Source organism: Homo sapiens, chromosome 17, assembly GCF_000001405.40.
Source record: "Homo sapiens chromosome 17, GRCh38.p14 Primary Assembly".
NCBI classification, from domain to species: Eukaryota; Metazoa; Chordata; class Mammalia; order Primates; family Hominidae; genus Homo; species Homo sapiens.
Genome location: NC_000017.11, coordinates 43,171,096 through 43,194,551, shown reverse-complemented (window position 1 = coordinate 43,194,551; position 23,456 = coordinate 43,171,096). Strand labels below are relative to the sequence as shown.

General features: G+C 43.3%; 1 protein-coding gene across 9 annotated transcripts in view, besides 1 other annotated feature; it reads right to left on the bottom strand.

Moving 5' to 3' along the window:
* Positions 1-23,456, bottom strand: part of NBR1 (NBR1 autophagy cargo receptor) — a 41,280-nt gene that overhangs the window by 17,137 nt on the left and 687 nt on the right. For 3 of the 9 annotated variants that reach the window (XM_011524813.3, NM_031862.4, XM_024450749.2), the window contains exons 2-13: positions 18,651-18,761; positions 16,554-16,616; positions 15,140-15,158; positions 13,735-13,757; positions 8,108-8,302; positions 5,433-5,510; positions 4,750-4,964; positions 3,776-3,943; positions 2,971-3,180; positions 1,299-1,458; positions 914-1,204; positions 53-202 (exon numbers count right to left, since the gene is read on the bottom strand). In XM_011524813.3, the coding sequence (XP_011523115.1) occupies positions 53-202; positions 914-1,204; positions 1,299-1,458; positions 2,971-3,180; positions 3,776-3,943; positions 4,750-4,964; positions 5,433-5,510; positions 8,108-8,302; positions 13,735-13,757; positions 15,140-15,158; positions 16,554-16,616; positions 18,651-18,752 (1,674 nt within the window). In that variant the 5' untranslated portion in view covers positions 18,753-18,761. Of the gene's footprint in view, positions 1-52; positions 203-913; positions 1,205-1,298; positions 1,459-2,970; positions 3,181-3,775; positions 3,944-4,749; positions 4,965-5,432; positions 5,511-8,107; positions 8,303-13,734; positions 13,758-15,139; positions 15,159-16,553; positions 16,617-18,650; positions 18,762-22,448; positions 23,339-23,456 lie in introns of those variants that run through there. The other 6 variants (NM_005899.5, NM_001291571.2, XM_047436061.1 and 3 more) reach the window with 5 other exon arrangements.
* Positions 23,198-23,307: an enhancer, noted in NCBI's record as "active region_12239". NCBI's record gives its function as "activates an Ori minimal core promoter by ATAC-STARR-seq in GM12878 lymphoblastoid cells {active_cell/tissue: GM12878}" and the evidence as "EXISTENCE:reporter gene assay evidence [ECO:0000049][PMID:35858748]".

Genomic DNA, 23,456 nt, shown 5'->3' with positions numbered 1-23,456 from the left:
TCCTGTGCTCTCTCCCTCTGTCCCTTGCCCTTCAAAGTGCTGAATCTTCCACCTGGGCAGTCAGAAGATCCACAGATGGGATGTAGAGCTCCCTCTCACTGGCAACATTTTTTGCCTTCTGTGGGATGCAGGCTGCTGTCCCTTCTGTCTGCTCAGTCACTTCACCAAGCTGTCTTTCTTCTTTAGCCAGAAGAAAAGTTTCCTATAGAGACAAACCATTGAGACAAATTTTAGGCCTTCAACAGAACTGAAGAGGCAGGCTGACAATGCCCCCAAAAATAAAAACGCTGCTGTACCTCCATATTTTAAAAAACAATGTTTTTGATATATTTTTACAGTTATAGAAAAAGTTGTAAAAACAGCAGAGAGAATTCACATTCCCCAGCTTCCCCTAATGACGATAACTTATATTAACTATAATAGTCAAAACCAGAAAATTAACATTGGATAACTTTAAGCAGTAAACACTCTGCCCCACTAATACAGAGAAATTGCATTAAAAAACTGTTCACTAAGTAGCAACCAGGGCAAGACTTCATTAGTATTTAGGGAACATACACAGGGTATTTCAGGAGAGATGGATGTTAAGGAGTAAAGCTATCAGTTCAGCAGTTCCACAGGCCAGCCCAGGCCAGGAGTCCCTTTTTCCCTTGTGCAGCCAACAGGCTGACCATGCAACATCACAAAGAGGTACAAAAGTATTCAGTATGCAGCAAGACCCTAAAGACGCTAAAACAAACACCCTAAGGAAGAGGCCAAATATCAGCATAGAGATGTGTTGGGGCGGGGGGAGATGCTAACCTTTCAAGGTTTCTGGAAAACAACCAGCTATGAGTGGGTTCTTTTAGTTTTAGCCATCTCCTCTCTAACTAAGATTTGGATACTAGGCCAAAGCCTGTCAGTCAATGCTCACCTCTTGCTGGCAGGTGAGATCATCAGTTTTGCTTGAGCTGATCATGCCCTTTTCAATGTTATCAGGGCTCTCTTCGGAGGGGAAAGGATCTACTATGATACTGCACCAGACCCGAGGCCCAAATTGCTGGCCTTTGTGAGAAAGACGCCAATGGGAAGTATACGTTCCCTCCAAGGCTGGGGCAATGAACTCCACAGATACAACTCCCACATGGCCGGCCTTGAGGCAGGGAACCAAAACATCCTTCTTTTCTGTGGAAGCCAAAGTCAGGTTTCCCCACATGAACTTGAGCTGAAAAGAACAGTAAGAAGAGAAAGCAAGCTTGTCAGCTGAGCACTCTGCCACTTCAAATCACCTCATCTTTGCATTTTGTGGGAAAAATTACCTTTGTGTCTGCACTCCACTTTACATTTCCTGTATTTTTCATCCTCCAGTGTTTGATAAACTTGGTTCCTGGCTGAAGGTGAGTCCCATCAGGCAAATTCTCATCCACAAATGCTGCACTGAGCATTGGCATAACGGAGGTACAGGGCTGCAAAGGGAGCCTGAACAGAAATTCAGATGCTTAGTCACTTGCTGTTGGGTGTGAAGGCTTCTGAATACCTCACACTAGCTTGAGAGTCTGACTGTGACTCTTGAAAATGTGCTAACCCATTTGCCTTAAAAATAATACTGATATTACTAGTATAGGACCACATATTAGAAACAATAAATTTTCTGACAAACTTAAAACAATAAAACAAAACAGAGGATAGGTCTCACTCCTGAGCTAAAAAAGTCATGGTAAGAGTAATTAAAAGGGCCTATAAATACAACACCTAGAGAGTCAGGCTTTTAACACATTTGTTCCTTTTGCTTCAATTCCAGATTGCCTCCAATGAAGAGAGGGACCCCGCCATTTTGAACTTTAGTGGTTTCTATCTTTCTGAAGAAGGAAACAAAACAAGTGTCAAAAATAACTACGAAACTTGGCCAGGCGCGGTGGCTCACGCCTGTCATCCCAGCACTTTGGGAGGCCAAGGCAGATAGATCACGAGGTCAGGAGATCGAGACCATCCTGGCTAACACGGTGAAACCCTGTTTCTACTAAAAAATACAAAAAATTAGCTGGGTGTGGTGGCGGGCACCTGTAGTCCCAGTTACTCGGGAGGCTGAGGCAGGAGAATGGCGTGAACCCAGGAGGTGGAGCTTGCAGTGAGCCGAGATCGCGCCACTGCACTCCAGCCTGGGCAACAGGCGAGACTCCAAGACTCCGTCTCAAAAACAAAACAAACAAAAAACTACCAAACCACCCTTTAATAATACTAAGACCACGCCAGGCAGGCGCAGTGGCTCACACCTGTTATCTCACCATTTTGGGAGGCCAAGGCGGGCGGATTCATGAGGTCAGGAGTTCGAGACCAGCCTGACCAACAGGATGAAACCCCATCTCTACTGAAAAAATACAAAAATTAGCCGGGCATGGTGGCATGCACCTGTAATCCTAGCTACTCAGGAGGCTGAGGCAGGAGAATCACTTGAACCCGGGAGGCAGAGGTTGCAGTGAGCCTAGATCATGCCACTGCACTCCAGCCTGGGCGACAGAGCGAGACTCCATCTCAAAAAAAAAAAAAAAAAAGCCGGGTGCTGTGTGGCTCATGCCTGTAATCCCAACACTTTGGGAGTCCAAGGCGGGCGGATCACGAGGTCAAGAGATCGAGACCATCCTGGCTAACACGGTGAAACCCCATCTCTACTAAAAATACAAAAAATTAGCCAGGCGTGGTGGCGGGTGCTTGTAGTCCCAGCTACTCAGGAGGCTGAGGCAGGAGAATGGCGTGAACCCGAAAGCAGAGCTGGCAGTGAGCCGAGATCGCACCACTGCACTACCGCCTGGGTGACAGAGCAAGACTCTGTCTCAAAAAACAAACAAACAAAAAATACTAAGACCAGATAATGGAAAGTTTTAAAGATTTAGGTGTTAAGGGCTACCAATAAATAAGACGGAAATTGGTTGAAGTTCCAGTTTCAGAGAGCTGGGCCTAAAGTTTTGGCTCCCACCCCAGTCCTGGGCTTACATCAGGGTATTAGACTGGAGCAAGCTCTCAGGTCGGCCTAAAGGAGACTTGGGGCTCTGGAGTCCATGGATTGAATTCCACAGGTGAATTTTCCTATGGAGTTTAAGCTGCTTTTTAAGTTCCTTGACCTCTGCTTTACGTTGTTTCTTCTCAGCTCGCAACCTTTGCTTTTCTGCTTTAAGAAAGTTCTTATCAACCTGTTTCTGGAGCCTGTGAGATAATAAAAGCAAGTCTTAAAAGAAAGTCACAAATAAATTCTGAAGCTATGTGGAGCCAATTGCAATTTCCATCAGTGTCAGCTTCCAGTTTAATTTCTTTTTTTGTTTTAGAATTAGGGTCTCACTCTGTCATGTAGGCTGGAGTACAGTGGTCTAATCATGGCTCCCTTCCACCTCATATTCCTGGGCTCAAGCAATCTGCTCACCTCAGACTCCCAAGTAGCTGAAACTATAGGTACGCACCACCACGCCTGGCTAATTTTTAAATTTTTTTTGTAGAGGCGGGATCTTGCTATGTTGCCCAGGCTGGTCTCAAATATTTGGCTTCAAGCACTCCTCCCACCTTAGCCCCTCAAGTTGCTGAGATAACAGTTATGGGCCATTGTGCCCAGCCTACTTTAGTTTCTTAATTTCTTTTTATAGCTATTATTTCTATTTCACTAACTTTGGATAACTGTCTTCATTATTGCACATCAATTGAAAATGAGCAGAACTAAGGAGACTATCTGTAGTTTTGTGATTCATACCCTGTCACCAGAACCAAGAAGTCAATCAGAGAATAAGCATCTCCATGTAGAGGGTTTTACCTGACTTGTTCCAGAGCAGCAGGAAGACGAGGAGTAGAGTACTTTGAGTGACAGAACGGTTCAGAGGAGCCCACAACAGGTCTCCGCAACTTCAGCAGGACGTGGTTAGTGTCATGGCCATATGGCCCTGCTTCACAATCTTCACAGATATTGTAGGATGGGCATAGGCTGTGGGGAAAGAATGGCACAATACACAATGGCAGAATAGGAAGTACCTGGGGTAGGGAGATATAAGACCATACTTCTATGTTTGCTCCAGTACCAACTAGCAGGTAACCTGAGCATGCCATCTGACTATGCCATGCCTCAATTTTCCTCATTAATAAAATGAGGATAATAACACTTAACCCATATCCATTTTAAATGAAAATCTATGGGAGGAAGGTAAGATGTGAAAGTACATGGGGCCAGGCACAGTGGCTCATGTCTGTAATCCCAGCACTTTGGGAGGCCATGGAGAAGAGGATCATTTGAGTCCAGTAGTTTGAGACTAGCCTGGGCAATATAGGGAGACCCCATCTCCAAAAAAATAATTAAAAGGCAGTCTGTGATCCCAGCTACTTGGCAGGCTGAAGTGGGAGGATTGTCTGAGCCTGGGAGGGTGAGGCTGCAGTGAACCATGATTGCACCCTGCACTCCAGCCTGGGTGACAGAGACCCTGTCACCAAAAAAAAAAAAAAAAAGGCATTTGGAACAACCGAGGAACTACCCTTAGTGATCTAATTTTGTCCGTTCAGGGGAACATAATTTTGCCTGGCTTTGCTAATCCAAATGCACATTTGAACACAACAATCTGAATAGTTACAACATACAAAGCATGTGGGTGAAGAGTAGCTTGTGCTTCCAACTCACAGCTACAACATCTAATGCTCAGAAACAGGGTACAATTAATTTCCCTTTACCTACACAGAAAGCCAGGGAGGTAAAAGCTGTAAGGTCTATCACTAGCTAGCTACTCCCAAGCAACTGCTTACCTACACTGGTAGCGGACACCAACAATCCTTCTTTGGCAGTTGTTGCAAGCAATATGCCAGCTGAACTGGTTTTCTGGCAAAAACAATGTTTCTTCTGAAGTAGGCATTGAGACTTCTGAGGGACAAGAACCCAAGGATGGGTTCTGGAGGACAAGCTTTTCATGTAATTTCTGTTCAAGCTTCTCAACCGTTTCGTTAACCACTTGTTCTCTGAACTAGAATATGGAGCAGAAGGTAGGGAAAAAACTCAGTTCCAATATCAGAAAAAAATGTGAAGATATCAATAGATCTGAAACCTAACTGTCTCTGGTATAATACAAAAACACAATAAACAACTGCTACTGAATAGACAGAAACATAGCAAAAGGTCTATTCCTTCCACAGCTAAACTGGTTCGAAGAAAATATCAAAACATCCTTTTGATAAGTAAATTTCTAACTTTTTCTCAAGCAGAGAGTTGTCCCTCTCCCTTACATGCTTAGAATTAGACTCCCTCTTTTTCTGACACTTCACTGCAAAGGTTAGAGCTTTCTCGACTGGAACTGTTCTAAGTTTGGAAATTATAAGCTACCACTCTTCACCGGTACTAGAGGCAGCAGCCACCTGGGTTCAGTTTTCTATTTCTTCCACATTCCACCTGTGCCAACACCGCAGTTAAAACCCAAGCGAGACAGAACACTCACCGTCTCCAGGTAGCTTGTGAACCAGTCTGGGGGCTTGTCTTGAGGCTGGTCTGTGTCACATGGAACAAGTGGAAACGACTGGGAGAAAACACAAGCCGAGATGTTAGAGGTTACTTTTTCTATTTAAAATACTTTTCCTGGAGTGTATTATTTTGAGGTTTCTTTTGTGAAATCATACAAGTATATAATTTTTTAAAAAGTCACAGTATGAAGGCGTACTAAAGGAAAACAAAGTCTCTAGCCTGCTCCCCTTCTACAGAAGTAAACTATTACCAGTTTCAAAAGTCAGAGAGAGGAGCACACTAATTCCCAAATCTCTGATAAATGTGCAAATCTTACAACAAAGACAATGAGAAATAAATCTAGAAATTGGATAGACTGAAACAGGCAATGGGGAAAGGATTCCCTATTTAATAAACGGTGCTGGGAAAACTGGCTAGCCATATGTAGAAAACTGAAACTGGACCCCTTCCTTACACCTTATACAAAAATTAACTCAAGGTGGATTAAAGACTTAAACATAAGATCTAAAACCATAAAAACCCTAGAAGAAAACCTAGGCAATACCATTTAGGACATAGGCAGGGGCAAAGACTTCATGACTAAAACACCAAAAGCAGTGGCAACAAAAGCCAAAATTGACAATGGGATCTAATTAAACTAAAGAGCTTCTGCACAGCAAAAGAAACTATCATCAGAGTGAACGGGCAACCTACACAATGAGAGAAAACTTTTGCAATCCATCCATCTGACAAAGGGCTAATATCCAGAATCTATAAGGAACTTAAACAAATTTACAAGAAAAAAACAACCCCATCAAAAAGTGGGTAAAGGATATGAACAGACAATTCTCAAAAGAAGACATTTATTCGGCCAACAAACCTATGAAAAAAAGCTCATCATCACTGGTCATTAGAGAAATGCAAATCAGGCCGGGCGCAGTGGCTCACGCCTGTAATCCCAGCACTTTGGGAGGCTGAGGCGGGTGGACCACGAGGTCAGGAGATCAAGACCATTCTGGCTAACATGTTGAAACCCCATCTCTACTAAAAATACAAAAAAATAGCTAGGCGTGGTAGTGGGCGCCTGTAATCCCAGCTACTCGAGAGGCTGAGGCAGGAGAATGGCGTGAACCCGGGAGACAGAGCTTGCAGTGAGCCCGGATTGCACCACTGCACTCCAGCCTGGGCGACAGAGTGAGACTCCATCTCAAAAAAAAAAAAAAAAAAAAAAGAGAAATGCAAATCAAAACCGCAATGAGATACCATCTCACACCAGTTAGAATGGCAATCATTAAAAAGTCAGGAAACAGGGCTGGGCATGGTGGCTCACACCTGTACTCCCAGCACTTTGGGAGGCCGAGGTGGGCGGATCACAAGGTCAGGAGTTCCAGACCAGTCTCACCAACATACTGAAACCCTGTCACTGCTAAAAATACAAAAAATTAGCCAGGTGTGGTGGTGTGTGCCTGTAATCCCAGCTACTCGGGAGGCTGAGGCAGGAGAATCACGTGAACCTGGGAGGCAGAGGTTGCAGTGAGCCAAGATCACGCCACTGTACTCCAGCCAGGGCGAAGGTGCAAGACTCTGTCTCAAAAAAAAAAAAAAAAAAAAAAAAGTCAGGAAATAATAGATGTTGGAGGCCGGGCGCGGTGGCTCACGCCTGTAATCCCAGCACTTTGGGAGGCCAAGGCGGGCGGACCATGAGGTCAGGAGATCGAGACCATCCTGGCTAACACGGTGAAACCCTGTCTCTACTAAAAATAAAAAAAATTAGCTGGGCGTAGTGGCAGGTGCCTATAGTCCTAGCTACTCAGGAGACTGAGGCAGGAGAATGGTGTTAACCCGGGAGGCAGAGCTTGCAATAAGCCGAGATCGCGCCACTGCACTCCACAGCCTGGGCAACAGAGTGAGACTCCGTTTCAAAAAAAAAGAAATAATAGATGTTGGAGAGGATGTGGAGAAATAGAATGCTTTTACACTGTTGGTGGGAGTGTAAATTAGTTCAACCATTGTTGAAGACAGTGTGGCGATTCCTCAGGGATCTAGAACCAGAAATACCATTTGACCCAGCGATCCCATTACCGGGTATATACCCAAAGGGTTATAAATCATTCTGCTATAAAGACACATGCAAACGTATGTTTATTGCAGCACTATTCACAATAGCAAAGACTTGGAACCAACCCAAATGCCTATCAATGATAGACTGGATAAAGAAAATGTGGCACATGTACACCATGGAATAATACGCAGCCATAAAAAAGGATGAGTTCATGTCTTTTGCAGGGACATGGATGAAGCTGGAAACCATCATTCTTAGCAAACTAACTCAGGAACAGAAAACCAAACACAGCATGTTCTCACTGATATGTGGGAGTTGAACAATGAGAACACATGGACACAGGGAGGGGTACATCACACACGGGGGCCTGTCAGGGGGTGGGGTGATAGGGGAGGGATAGCATTAGGAGAAATACCTAAGGTAGATGATAGGTTGATGGGTGCAGCAAACCACCATGGCTCATGTATACCTATATAACAAACCTGCACATTCTGCACATGTATCTCAGAACTTAAAGTATAATAAAAAAATAAAATAAAGAAACCTGTTCAGCTTTATTTAAAAAAGAAAAAAGAAACGATATTGGATAGACTGGGCCATACCCTTCATACCTGCACTGCAGGATCCTCTGGGGTCTTCATGTCTGATCCCAAGACTCTCACCAGTGAAGAGTAATGTGCAAGTGGCTTCTTCCCTGCCCTGGCAGCTAGTCGTTTTGCTCCTACAACTGGGGGTGGGGCTTCATCAACGACATGGTGCCCTTCGTGGACTTGCATCTGCAGTTGGTTTCCCTGTTTAACTGCCATCTAAGAGCATACATTATGAAACAAAAACATGCGACGTGATTATCTTCTCCTAAATAACATTTCAAAGACATCAAAACAGAAGAGTGTGGTAAGTTATGCTAGAAAATACTAGGATTTGTGTTTGCTTTATTAAATCCAACAACAAATGTAATGTTTACACTCAACTTGCTATTTCTTTGGTAAGAATGTTAACTAGAAATTTATTTATTTATTTATTTATTTATTTATTTATTTATTTATTTATTTTTGAGACGGAGTTTTGCTCTTGTTGCCCAGGCTGGAGTGCAATGGCACGGTCTTGGCTCACTGCAACCTCCGCCTCCTGGGTTCAAACGATTCTCCTGCCTAAGCCTCCCAAGTAGCTGGTATTACATACAGGTGCCAACCACCACACCCAGCTAATTTTTGTATTTGTAGTAGAGATGGGGTTTCACTATGTTGGCTAGGCTGGTCTCGAACTCCCGACCTCAGGTGATCCACCCACCTCGCCCTCCCAAAGTGCTGAGATTACAGGCATGAGCCACCGTGCCCAGCCTAGAAATTTATTTTTATTTTTTTGAGATGGCAATTTGCTCTGTCACCCATGTTGGAATGCAGTGCATGGCTCACTGCAGCCTGTCTCTTGGGCTCAAGCGATCTTCCCACCTCAGCCTCCCGGGTAGCTGGGATTACAGGCGCATGCCACCACACCTGGCTAAGGTTTTTGTTTTAGTTTGGAGACAGGAGTCTCACTGTGTTGCCCAGACTGGTCTTGGACACCTGAGTTCAACTATCCTCCCACCTCAGCCTCCTGAGTAACTGGGACTACAGGTGCGCACCACCATACCTGGCTAACTTTTGTATTTTTGTAGAGGTGAAATTTCATGATGTTGCCCAGGCTAGTCTCGAACTCCCGGGCTCCGCCCACCTTGGCTTTCCAAAGTGCTAGTATCATAGGTTTGGGTCACTATGCCTGTTGGCTAATTTAAAAAATTTTTTGTCATACATTACCCAGGCCGGTCATGAACTTGGTTTTGTTATTAAAACCACAAAAGTATTGTGTTGCTTTATTCCACAAAAACAAACAAAAAAACCCATAAAAGTAGGTTTTAAGATGGCAAATTAGGTAAGATTCTCCTTAACTGGGTTACTATTTTTCTGTTTTTTTTTTTTTCTTTTTTTTGAGGTGGAGTCTCGCTCTGTCACCAGGCTAGAGTGCAGTGATGCAATCTCGGCTCACTGCAAACTCCACCTCCCGGGTTCAAGCGATTCTCCTGCCTCAGCCTCCCGAGTAGCTGGGACTATAGGCGCACGCCACCACACCCAGCTAATTTTTGTATTTTTAGTAGAGATGGGGTTTCACTATGTTAGCCAAGATGGTCTCAATCTCTTGACCTCGTGATCTGCCGCCTCAGCCTCCCAAAGTGCTGGGATTACAGGTGTGAGCCACTGCGCCTAGTCTAATTGGTTTTTATACAAGACTCTCTCTATGGAATCTTAACTCAGGTTTCCAAAAAGGTTAATTCTAGACTAACAAAACTCAAGAAACTTAAAGATATGTCCTATAATTAAGCATTTACTTTTCCAATAAAAATAGTATTTTGGGGCCAGGCGCGGTGGCTCATGCCTGTAATCCCAGCATTTTGGGAGTCTGAGCTGAGCAGATCACCTGAGGTCAGGAGTTCGAGACCAGCCTGTCCAACATGGTGAAACCCCATCTCTACTAAAAATGCAAAAATTAGCTGGGCATGGTGGCATGCACCTGTAATCCCAGCTACTCAGGAGGCTGAGACAGGAGAATTGCTTGAATCCAGGAGGCGGAGGTTGCAATGAGCTGAGATGGCGCCACTGCACTCTAGCTTGGGCAACAAAGTGAGACTCTGTCTCAAAAAAAAAAAGAATAGTATTTTGGGGCGATGAGAGGTGGGTCATGCCTGTAATCCGAGCACTTTGGGAGGCTGAGGCAGATAACTTGGGCCCAGGAGTTCAAGACAAACCTGGGCAACACAGCAAGGCCCTGTCTCTATTAAAAAAAAAAAAAAAGTTTAAAAATCATCGGAGCATGGTGGTATTTTCCTGTAGTCCCAGCTACACAGGAGCCTGAGGTAGGAAGACCACTTGAGCCCAGGAAGTCAAGGCTGCAATCACACCACTGCACTCCAGCTATGTGAGCTGTGATCATACCACTGCACTCCAGCCTGGGTGACAGTGAGATCCCGTCTCAAAAAAATATATCGAAGTGATTTTTTTTAACAAGTGCTGTCAGTGAAAAAAAACTTTTTAAAAATAAAAATAACTAGCCAGGTGTGGTAGCTGGGTACAGTGGCTCACACCTGTTATACCAGCACTTTGGGAGGCTGAGGCAGGCAGATCACTTGAGGCTAGGAGATTAAGACTAGCCTGGCCAACATAGCGAAGCCCTATTTCTACTAAAAATACAAAAAACAGTTGGGTGTGGTGGCACATGCCTGTAATCCCAGCTATTAGTGTGGCTGAGGTATGAGAATTGCTTGAATCCAGGAGGCGGAGGCTGCAGTGAGCTGAGATTGTACCACTGCACTCCAGTCTGGGTGACAGAGCAAGACTCAAAAACAAACAAACAAAACCAGCCAAGTGTGGTGATGCACACCTGTGGTCCCAACTACTCAGGAGGCTGAAGTGGGAGAACTGCTTGAGCCTGGGACGTTGAGGGGGCAGTAAGCCATAATTGCACCACTGTGCTCCAGCCTCTATGACAGAATGACACACGTGTCGCTGGGCGCAGTGGCTCATGCCTGTAATCCCAGCACTTTGGGAGGCTAAGGCAGGTGGATCATGAGGTCAAGAGATTGAGACCACCCTGGACAACATGGTGAAACCCCATCTCTACTAAAAATACAAAAATTAGCTGGGTGTGGTGGCGCATGCCCGTAGTCCCAGCTACTCGGGAGGCTGAGGCAGGAGAACTGCTTGAACCCGGGAGGTGGAGGTTACAGTGAGCCAAGGTCGCGCCACTGCACTCCAGCCTGGCAACAGAGCAAGACTCCATCTCAAAAAACAACAACAAAAGGAATGACACACACGTCAAAGAAAAAAAGAGGCCGGGCGTGATGGCTCACACCTCTAATCCTAGCACTTTGGGAGGCTGAGGTGGATGGGTTGCTTAAGCCTAGAAGTTCAAGACTAGCCTGGGCAACATGGTAAAACCCTGTCTCAAAAAAAAAAAGACGCCAGGCGCAGTGGCTCACGCCTGTAATCCCAGCACTTTGGGAGGCCAAGGCAAGAGGATCACCGGAGGTCAGGAGTTCGAGATGAGCCTGGCCAACATGGTGAAACGCCGTCTCTACTAAAAATACAAAAATTAGCTGGGCATGGTGGCATACACCTGTAATCCCAGCTATTAGGAAGGCTGAAGCAGGAACATCACTTGAACCTGGGAGGTGTAGGCTGCTGGTAGCCAAGATCGCACCACTGTACTCCAGCATGAGCAACAGGGCGAGACTCCGTCGCAAAAAAAAAAGAAAAAAAGCATTCAATGGGTAACTACATCTGAGGTGATGGATGTGTTAATTAACTTGATTGTGGTAATCATTTCACAATGTATACATATTTCAAAACATCACATTTTATACACATTTTTATATTTAAACATACAAATTTTTAAAAATTAGAAACTAAAAACAAAAAAAAAAGCATTCCATGTCCAAAAAGTGGCTGTCATCTCTGCCTTAAACATAACATTGTATGGGCTATAGAGAACAGAGTGACATAGGCTGTGCACAGTGGCTCATGCCTGTAATCCCAGCACCTTGGCAGGCCAAGGCAGGCGAATCACTTGGGTAAGGAGTTTGAGACCAGCCTGGCCAACAAGGCGAAACCCTGTCTCTACTAAAAACTACAAAATAAATTAGCTGGGTGTGGTGGCGCACACCTGTAATCCCAGCTACTTGGGAAACTGAGGCATGAGACTCACTTGAACCCCAGAGGTGGAGGTTGCAGTGAGCCAAGATTGCGCCACCGCACTCCAGCCTGAGCGACAGAGTGAGACTCTGTCTCAAAAAAAAAAAAAAAAAAAAAAAAGGAGAGAACAGAGTGAGGGAAAGAGGTGAAAAATGTGAACCAGTAAACATAGTTCTAGAACAGGCATGGTGGTGCACACCCATAGTCCCAGCTACTCGGGAGGCTGAGGCAGCAGGATCACTTGAGCCCAGCAGTTCAAGGCTGGCCTGGGTAACATAGCAAGACCCAGCCTCTTTAGGAAAAAAAAAAGGGGGGCATCAAGAGTTTTTTGGGTTTTTTTTGTCTTTGAGATGGAGTTTCCCTCTTGTTGCCCAGGCTGGAGTGCAATGGCGTGATCTCAGCTCACTGTAACCTCTGCCTCCCAGGTTCAAATGATTCTCCTGCCTTGGCCTCCCAAGTAGCTGGGATTATAGGCATGCACCACCACACCTGGCTAATTTTTTGTATTTAGTAGAGATGAGGTTTCACCATCATGGTCAGGCTGGTCTTGAACTGCTGACCTTGGGTGATCCGCCTGCCTCAGTCTCCCAAAGTGCTGGGATTACAGGCATGAGCCACTGCACCCGGCCAAGATATTTGTTTTTTGGTTTGTTTGTTTTTTTTGTTTTGAGACAGAGTCTCACTGTCGCCCAGGCTGGAGTGCAGTGGCACGATCTCGGCTCACTGCAAGCTCCGCCTCCGGGGTTCACGCCATTCTCCTGCCTCAGCCTCCCAAGTAGCTGGGACTACAGGCACCCGCCCACGCCCGGCTGTTTTGTATTTTTAGTAGAGACAGGGTTTCACCACGTTAGCCAGGATGGTCTTGATCTCCTGACCTCGTGATCCACCCACCTCGGCCTCCCAAAGTGCTGGGATTACAGGCGTGAGCCACCACGCCTGGCCAGTTATTTGTATTTTTAAACACTAGAACAGTAGCACAAAGACCAGCAAAGAGATGGGACTGTAACTGAGAAGGACCTTTTTATTATGAATTGCCTTTTGCTGAGTGTCGTGCCCATTCATCAGTCTCCCTATAAACAGGTTTCACTGTGTTTATACGTACTAGTCTCTCCCCATAACTAATGGAATTCAGGTTTGAGTTTCAGTCAATAAATATTTTAGGCCAGACGCAGTGGCTCATGCCTATAATCCCAGCACTTGGGAGGCCAAGGCCAGCAGATTGCTTGAGCCCAAGAGTTCCAGACCAGCCTGGGAAACATGGTGAAACCCTGTCTCTAAGAAAAATATAAAAAGTTAGCCGGGCGTGGTGACGTGTTTCTGTAGTTCCAGCTACTCGGGAGGCTGAGGTGGGAGGATCACTTAAGCCTGGGAGGTGAAGACTGCAGCAACCCCAGATTGTGCCACTGCACACCAGCCTGGATGACAGAGCACAACCTCATCTCAAAAAAAGAAAAAAAACCAACCCATAATAATATTTTTTAAATTATTTAAAAATGAGATTAAATAATCATTACCTTAAGCGCTTCTTCATATTCTCCTAAAAGAACAAAAAATATACACCATGATACTTCTTCACACACCCCAAAAGATTCTATTATTTTAAAATTATTTTTATTTTGTACACATCCATTCATTCATTCAAGAACCAAAGATTCCATAAGATTAAGGATAGCCAATCCTAAAGATGGACTGTACAACATGAGGAACATATTATAGTTAAATAATCGTAAATTATATTCATGATTTTTGCTAAATGAGTAGATTATGGCTGGTTTCTGGGGAGGGCTCAGGGCACCACAGGGCCACTATAATGAGATGATAGATATGTTAATTTGCTTCACTACAGTAACCATTGCCACATAACATTTTGGTCAACCATGTGTATGATGGTGATCCCATAAGATTATAATGCCACATTTTTACTGTACCTTTTCTATGTTTAGATATGCAAATACCATTGTGTTTCAACTGTCTATAGTATACAGCACAGTAACATGCTCTACAGGTTCGCAGCCTATAAGCAATAGGTTATACCATATATCCTAGGTGTGTACTAGGCTATACCATCTAGGTTTGTGTAAGTACACTCTATGATGTCCATATAATGACAAAATCACCTAATTGATGCATTTCTCAGTACAAATCTCTGTCATTAAGCGATGCATTACTGTATATGTATTTCATAACATCATGTTGTGCACCTTCAATATATACAATAAAAATTTGTTAAATGTACAGCTAATCCTGACTTTAAAGAATTCTTAGCTTATTATATATGAACAGCAACTATCTTTTTGCTGACAAACTCCCTTTTTGTTGCAAACAGCATCTACTGTAGATCAGTTCTTCCCCTTAAATCCCTCCTTCATCACTACTGGGAATCTTCCAGTTACAAAATCTCAACCCAGGTCCCTCACATTTACGCACTGAGAGTTCAATGTTAATACTATCATTTCACCTGATTAAATTAAGATTTTAGGGGCTATCGTGGGAAACTAATCTTCAACTATAACATGGTTCCTATGGGAAAATGCACTCCAAGCTCTGAACATCTGATAAATAAACTTTTGGAATACCACTTGTTTTATAAGTTGATATTAACATATATACCAAGTCAGAAACAAATGCAACACCATGGGAATACTTATATGTGTTGAACTGGGAGGCATATTAATTTCAGAGGACTGGCATCTTAAATATGAGAACCTCCCATTAAAGCTGTCCTTAGGGTCCATTCAAAGGCATCATCCTATATATAAAAAACTGCTATACAATAAAATCCCCTAGGTAACTAATGTCCATCAGTGCAATGTCACTCTAAAATTAATACTGCAATAAGGTTTGAGTATAAATAGAAATGCCTCAATGAGCAGATTAAGGTTTTTAAACAAGGCTGAACAGACTCTCTTAGGGACTCACCTTGACTGTTGATGGATACCTATAAAAGGAAAAAAAGCAACAGTGAATTATAAGTGTCTCATCAGTTGAGCATTTCTGTTACTAGGACCAGCCCCATAGGACAGACAAAAACTCAGGCCAAGCGTTCAGCTTTTCCATATCACTTGCTAGTCATGAATAACACTTAAGAAATTTTATTGCTTATCTACTGTGCCCTCCTTTATTTCAGATACATTAAAAGGCAGTGCAATATAACAGTTAGGAGCTTGAGTTCTACAGCCAGAGGGTATGGACTGAACGGCTACTTTACTACTTCCAAGTTTTTGTGCATTTGGACAAGTTATTTTCACCTCTCTGTGCCTCAGTTTCCTCATGAGTAAAATAGTGATGATAATAATGTACTCAATACATGGTACTGTGGCTAGTCTGACACACTGTAACCACTCAATAAAGCTTAGCCATTAGCCTGAGCAACAAAGTGAGATTCCATCCCTCCAAAGAATTAAAAAATTTTGCCAGATGCAGAGAGGTATGTCCTAGCTACCCAGAAGGCTGAGATGGGAGGATTCCTTGAACCCAGGAGCTCTAGGTTGCAGCAAGCTATGCCAATGCACACCAGCCTGGGCAACAGAGTGAGACCCTCTTTAAAAAAAAAAAAAAAAAAAGCTTAGCCATTATATTTGTATTATTATAAACTAAGTGGTAGCTTGTGCTATATGTGAACTTAAGGTCACTATATAATTTTAAAAGTTATCTTGGCCAGGTGTGGTAGCTCACAACTGTAATCCCAGCACTTTGGGAGTCCGAGGTGGGCTGATCGCTTGAGCCCAGGAGTTCGAGACCAGCTTGGCCAACATGGTGAAATACCGTCTCTACTAAAAATACAAAAATTAGCCAGGCGTGGTGGTATACACCTGTAATCCCAGCTACTCAGAAGGCTGAGACAGGAGAATCACTTGAACCCAGGAGCTGGAGGTTGCAGTGAGCAGAGATCGCACCACTGCACTCCAGCCTAGGTTATGGAGTGAGGCTTCATCTCACAAAAAAAAAAAAAGAAAAAAAAAAAAGGTTCTCTCAGGCCAGGCCAGGCATGGTGGGTGTCTCACACCTATAATCCCAGCACTTTGGGAGGCTGAGGTGGGAGGACTGCTTGGGCCCAGGAGTTCAAGACTGGCCTGAGCAACATAGTGAGACCCTGTTTCCTTTTTTTTTTTTTAAGTGAAAGTTATCTCTGAGATATTCTTCAGTGTTGCTTCTCCATTTCTCAACTCCATCTCAGATGCTGCAAGTCTTCTTAGAATATTCAGTTATCAAATATATTTAAACCACCACACAAATAAGCTAAACACTATTTTGAATTATTAAAGCCCATATCACTGGAGAAATAAGATCCCTATTCTGAACACCTAGCAATAAGTGCCATAATATATTTTACCTCTTCATTTTCCTCATCCAGGTATTTTATTTGAATAGTATTCAGATCAAATGAAACTTTTACCTATAAAAGAGATACATATTTAAAGGCAGGTTATAATGTACACAGAAGTCAAAGTAAAAAAAACCCACAAAATCAAAAGACAAACAACAAACAACCTTAATAACCCATAACAAAGGGTTAATATCTGCAACACACCCAGAGTACCAGCAAAACTGCTAATGATACAATTAACAACCCAGGTAAAAATATACATAAAATTCATACAAGAGGAAATCAGAACACCTAACAAATACATCAGAAGACTTTCAAACTTTCTGGTGGTCAGAACAATGCAAATTGAAGCAATGAGATGACATCTCATCAGAATACCAAACTGTGTGTGTGTGTGTGTGTGTGTGTGTGTGTGTGTGTGTGTGTGTGTGTTTTGGGTGGGGTGTGGGGTAGGGAACAGCAAATGTTTTTTAAAGCCATAACATCCAGTGTTGTCAAAACTTCAGGACACTGTCATGTATTTCTGTGTGCTGCTACAATTGTTCTGCAAAGCATTTGGCAGAATCTATTAAAATTTCAAATAAAATGCTTTGTGACCCATTAATCTCACATTTGTATAGGACAGAGTTTATCCTGTAGAACAGTGTATAAGTTATGTGTATAGATGGATATCTCCTGAAGTTTCAAGATAAGAAAAAAAAAAAACGAAAAATATCTTTTTTTTTTTTTTTTTGAGATGGGTCTCACTCTGTCGCTCAGGCTGGATTATAGTGGCTTGATCTTGGCTCACTGCAGCCTCAACCTCCAGCACTCAAGCAATTCGCCCACCTCAACCTCCGGAGTAGCTGGAACCACAGGTGCCTGCTACCAGGCCCAGCTAATTTTTGTATTTTTTTGGTAGAGATGGGGTTTTACCATGTTGCCCAGTCTGGTCTCAAACTCCTGAGCTGAAGTGGTCCACCCATCTTGGCCTCCCAAAGTGCTGGGATTCTAGGCGTGTGCCACTGTGCCTGGCCAAATAATGTTTATAGTATGATCCTAGTATGATATCTGCATGAACATGGAAAATTTAAAGTACATACAGGGCTGTTAACATTGGTTACCCAAAGAAGGTGGGAGTAACAGATGAGGGGGGGGAGAATGGAGGGCTATTAACTGCTTGAGATGGTTTCTCTTCTTAAAATGGGCATGTATTATACTTATACAATTTAAAATTTACAAGGAAGAAAAAAGGCAAGCTGTCAGCTCATTTAACTACTAGGAAAAGAAAGATAACTGATTTTCACATCTTTTGGCAAACAAGATCTAACTTCTTTCTGAATCCAATCTTTTTTTTTTTTTTGAGACGGGTCTCACTGTCACTGATAGGACAGTATGAACAGGTATTTGCTGGAAGGCAGACAACTACCTCAGATCATCTTTTAAGATCTACCATTTCTTTCCCTTTTTAGTTATCATCAGATATAACCAGGTAAACGTAGATTTTTACCAAAGGGTTTCAGAGAGAAACACAGTCAACACAGGAAGTAAAACATTCACCACTGCAAACTGAACAAAAACAGAAGAGTACAAAGGGCAAACCAAGAGGAGGAAAAGCCTTAGCAAAAAAACGGAACAGGTGAACTGCTGTCTAAGCAGGTATGAAAGTTTTTCCTGCTCAACTCTGAGATACTCAACCTCTGACCTAGCAATAAAAACAATTGATAGGCTCTTGCAAAACACAAGTTATATCCTTGTGCAAAACACAAGTCATATCCTCACACAAGAGAACATTTCCTTGGGATCTGGTTGGGTGGAGTCCACACCAATTCACTCCTCATACTGGTTCTAAAATTAATAGGTTTTCTAAATCCTATCTCACTAAAAACAATTTTACCTTCCCTTTCTAAAATGTTCAAAAGGAAATTTATGTGTTGGTTCCCTTTATTGGGGCACATCTCATATATGAATACTGAAACCCTATCAAAAGCAATTTTCCAAAAGGCCCAGAAATGGTAACTATGACAGACTTCACAGCTATGAAACAACACTGCTAAAAATAGCTACCTTTGGAAAAAATAACCATGCTTAAACCAAGGAGAAACAAAATAAAGTAACACTCACCATAGCTTCGATATCAGCCCAAGTTGTATTTTCTGGATCAGAAACCAGAAAGCTTTGAATTTCATTTTTAAAAGTCACATTTAGAGTAACCTGTGGTTCCATGCTGTGAGGCTAGGGTTGAGAAGGTTGGTGGGAGAGAGAGAAAAACACATTAGAAAGGGTTCTATAAGTTGCACTAAAAGTTCACTCAGCAAATACTTGTGAGGACCCAATATGGGCTGGGCTTGGGAGACAGCAATGAACAAAAGAAACACTGTCCCTGTTCTTACGAAACTTACCATCACTGTTAAATAGGAATTGTTTCAGGAAAGAAAGATAGGCTAAAACCATGCCATAAAGACTTGTACTTAAGTCACAAAAATTATTCTTGAAGTTATTAGGAACTTCCACATGTTGGAAACATGTGGAAACAGAAGTATGCTGAAAGTATTTAAATTTTGACCACATTCCCAGAAATCATCTAGCATTTGTAAAATCCTTACGGTACTTTATGATGACTGGTTAACTAAACAAATACTTACTAGTAGCAGGACATACCAACATGGATAAGAGAGATAAGGTCTCTGCCCTCAGGGAACTTGTATTCTTGTATGACTTGAGAGTGACATTCTACATTTTTCTTGCAGAAGGAGGGTTGTCCTAACTTGAGAACCTAGGTTTTCTACCAGTTTTACGAACTTACAGGCCAAAACACTAGCCAAGAAACTACACAGAGGTAGCATTCAATGCCCTCCATCCAAGTTACTATGTTTTTTCACAATCTACTGATTTTTTATTTTATTTTATTTATTTATTTATTTTTGAGACGGAGTCTCGCTCTATCGCCCCAGGCTGGGGTGCAGTGGCACGATCTCAGCTCACTGCAACCTCCACCTCCTGGGTTCACGCCATTCTCCTGCCTCAGCCTCTCGAGTAGCTGGGGTGCCCGCCACCACATCCGGCTAATTTTTTTTTTTTTTTTTGTATTTTTGGTAGGGACGGGGTTTCACCGTGTTAGGCAAAATGGTCTCGATCTCCTGACCTCATGATCTGCCTGCCTTGGCCTTCCAAAATGCTGGGATTACAGGCATGAGCCACCGCACCTGGCCTTGTACTGATTTTTTAAATGGGGGATTTCAAACATATATAAAAGTGGAGAGTAATAAACACTTAGTTAAACCAACAATCAACTCAAGGCTATCCTCATTCACATATACCCCCGCATCTCCCACTTCTGCCCCAACAATGAACTGACCATAGTCAACTAATGTTTTAACCAAACTATAATAATATAATTATTTTATATTATTGTATTTATTTATTTTGAGATAGAGTCTTGTTCTGTCGTCCAGGCTCAAGTGCAGTGGCACAATCTTGGCTCACTGCAACCTCCACCTTCTGGTTTCAAGCGATTCTCTCACCTCAGCCTCCTGAGTAGCTGGGACTACAGGCGCCCGCCACCACGCCTGGCTAATTTTTTTGTATTTTTAGTAGAGACGGGGTTTCACCGTGATAGCCAGGATGGTCTCGATCTCCTGACCTCGTGATTCCACCCACCTCGGCCTCCCAAAGTGCTGGGATTACAGGCGTGAGCCACCATGCCCGGACTATTTTTTAAAATATTTTTATGGGAAAATTTAAATCTATACAAAAGTAGAGAGAATATAATGAATCCCTATGGACCCATAAGCTAGCTTCTTTCATAATTATCAACTCAGGACCAATTTGCTGTAACCAAAGGTTTACAGCAATACCCTTTCCCTACTAGATTATTTTGACAGACATCTATGCTTTTATCCATTAAGAATTGAGTATGTACCTCTAAAAGATAAGAATTTTTTAAAAACAGTCTAGATATCATTATCATGCCTAACAAGTTAACAATTCCTTAATCAGATTTCTATTCTGATCATTATGTTTTTAATTAAGGATTTTGTTTACTGATGAATGGTTACGTTTAACTGGTTTTTATGACTTTATGAAAAAATAGCTTAGGTTGAGAGGAACAAGATATGAAAAAATAGCTTAGGTTGAGAGGAACAAGATTAAGTCCCAGGGATTTACAGCGTGGTCTGCGGGGGTGGGGGTGGGGGGCAGAGGGGAGGCGGAGGAGCACACAAACTGGGAAGACTTAGCTTCCAGACATACCTCCGGCCCATTACTAGACATAAAACTGTGAGCAGGTCAGTTCGCTTTTGAGCTTCGGTTCTTTAACCTATAAAATAGGTCTAATACGTCTGCTTTGACTATCTCACAGTGTTACCATAAGGATCAAATTAAAAATGTGTACGCAAGTTCTTTCAAAATGTCATTCAAATATAAAAAATATGATAATAAAGGCCAAGCACAGTGGCTCATGTCTGTAATTCCAGCATTTTGGGAAGCAGAGGCAGGCAGATCGTTTGAGTCGAGTTTGAGACCAGCCTAGCCAACATGGTGAAACCTCGTCCCTACTAAAAATACAAAAATTAGCTGCGTGTAGTGGCGCAGGCCTTTAATCCCAGCTACTCAGGAGGCTGAGGCAGGAGAATTGCTTGAACCTGGGAGGCAAGGTTGCAGTGAGCCAAGATCATGCCACTGCACTCTCGCCTGGGTGATAGAGCGAGACTCTGTCTCAAAAATAAAATAAAATAAAAAACTGGACGGGTGTGGTGGCTGATGCTGGTAATCTTAGCACTTTGGGAGGCTGAGGCGGAAGGATCATGAGCCTAGGAGTTCAAGACCAGCCTGGGCAACAAAGCCAGACCCTGTCTCCTTAAAAAAATTAAGTTCAATTAAACATTTTAAAAAATAATAGGGCCGGATGTGGTGGCTCACGCCTGTAATCCCAGCACTTTGGGAGGCCGAGGTGGGTGGATCACGAGGTCAGGAGATCGAGACCATCCTGGCTAACACGGTGAAACCCCGTCTCTACTAAAAATACAAAAAATTTAGCCAGGCGTGGTGGTGGGCGCCCGTAGTTCCAGCTACTCGGGAGGCTGAGGCAGGAGAATGGCGTGAACCTGGGAGGTGGAGCTTGCAGTGAGCCAAGATCGCGCCAATGCACTCCAGCCTGGGCGACAGAGCAAGACTCCATCTCAAATAAATAAATAAATAATAATAAACCAGTCTTTAGAACCATAAACCTGTACTGTTTTCCACAATGTAATGCACTGCCCTGTAAAATACTACAATTAAGACTGTCATTTAAAGGCACTTTTTTGAAACCCTAAGACAATTATCCCCCAATTTTCTCCATTCTTTGTTTCTACCAAGAACCAAGTTCACCACCAAAATAATATTAGTCTCTTAACAACAATCCTGCTGACATCTAGTATTCATTCATATGAAATGTAATTATTGGGGTCCTTAAAATTTGAGAATCTTTGTCAATTCCCCAGGACCTTAGGCAAAAAATCAAGGAAATGAAGTGACTCAGTCCGCCAAAAGTGGGTATTCTGAAATATCACTTTCCAACTTCAAGAAACACACTTCCCTACTTGTGAAGGAAATGAATCTTCCTCTCTTTTTCTCAAATTACACAATTGGAAATTTAGATACTCTGGAGCTCCTCCAGCTGGTGGGCCAACTAAGAGAAAACAGGAAGTGGGAGATTCTAGCTTGGCTGGACCATATCCAGGTCTTCATAAGGAACTCTCTTTGGCTGACATGTAAAAAAATTCTTTCAGCAGGAGCATTAATCTTAAACGTGTGTAAACACCAAAGCTATGGTTAACCCTATCTGCCCCTTAGGTCTACAGCCAGTAGAGTCAGATAGCTGGGTCTTAGGCCTTCAGCTTTCATAACTGGCATTATTGTAAGTCCATGCCACTGACTCACCTTTGCTTGGCACAAGTTAGCTTTTCCTCCACGTCGATTTTTTTTTCAGCCTCAACAAAATCCCTTTAATGAAACAGACCTGGCAACCTGAGCTTTGATTACTGTCTCCACCAGAGGCCTTTACAAGCCAAGTTATCCAGGCTTTAAAATGTGTGACCTGAGGCCGGGAGCGGTGGCTTATACCTGTAATCCCAGCACTTTGGGAGGCCAAGGCACGAGGATCGCTTGAGCTCAGCAGTTCAAGCCCAGCCTGGGTTGGTCTTTGAGAAAGCAAGACTCTGTCTCAAAAAAGTGTGGCCTGAAAGCTGAGTGTTTGACAAAAAGGAAAAACAGTGCCTTTCCAAAACCGAAGGTCCCTAACCAAGGAGATCTCTTTAAGGTCTCGAAAAAACGAGGATGGGATGAGAAGGATGTGTAAGTAGTGTCATTTTTTTACTTGCAGAGTTCATCCTAGTCTTCCAGTTTTCGTTTCCTAGCACTCCATGTTCCCAAGACAGTGTCACTACCCCGAGGGCTCTCTCATTTTCTTTGCCTAGGCCCTCATTCCACTGGGGAGTCGTGGCCTTCCATCAGTAGAAGCCGGATGTTCTGACCCACAGACTCTCCAACTCTCCGGCGCTTCTCGCCAACTCGGTCCCTCTGAACATGAAGGGCTCTCTCATCCTGTCACTAAAAAGATTAGCTGTCCCGAAACACGGAAAAAGTCGCCCCTCTTCTTTGCAGGATTCCTCCCTTGAACTTCCCCAAACCCTCTTAGCGTGACGTGACCCCACCCCTAGGTAACCGCAGCTGCTTCCTTACCAGCTTCCCGCCCCCGGGGGGCGCCTGCCGGAGGCCAATGCAAGGACCGTCCGCTACCGGCTCTGCCGCTATCCCTGTGGGGTGAATCTAACATGGCGGATAAAGACAGTAACTAGTCCCCTGTTTCTCCGAGTGTTCGCCAAGATGATTGGCTCTCACCACTTGTCCCTCAAAACGACCACGCCATTGATTGGTGGAGATTGCGTC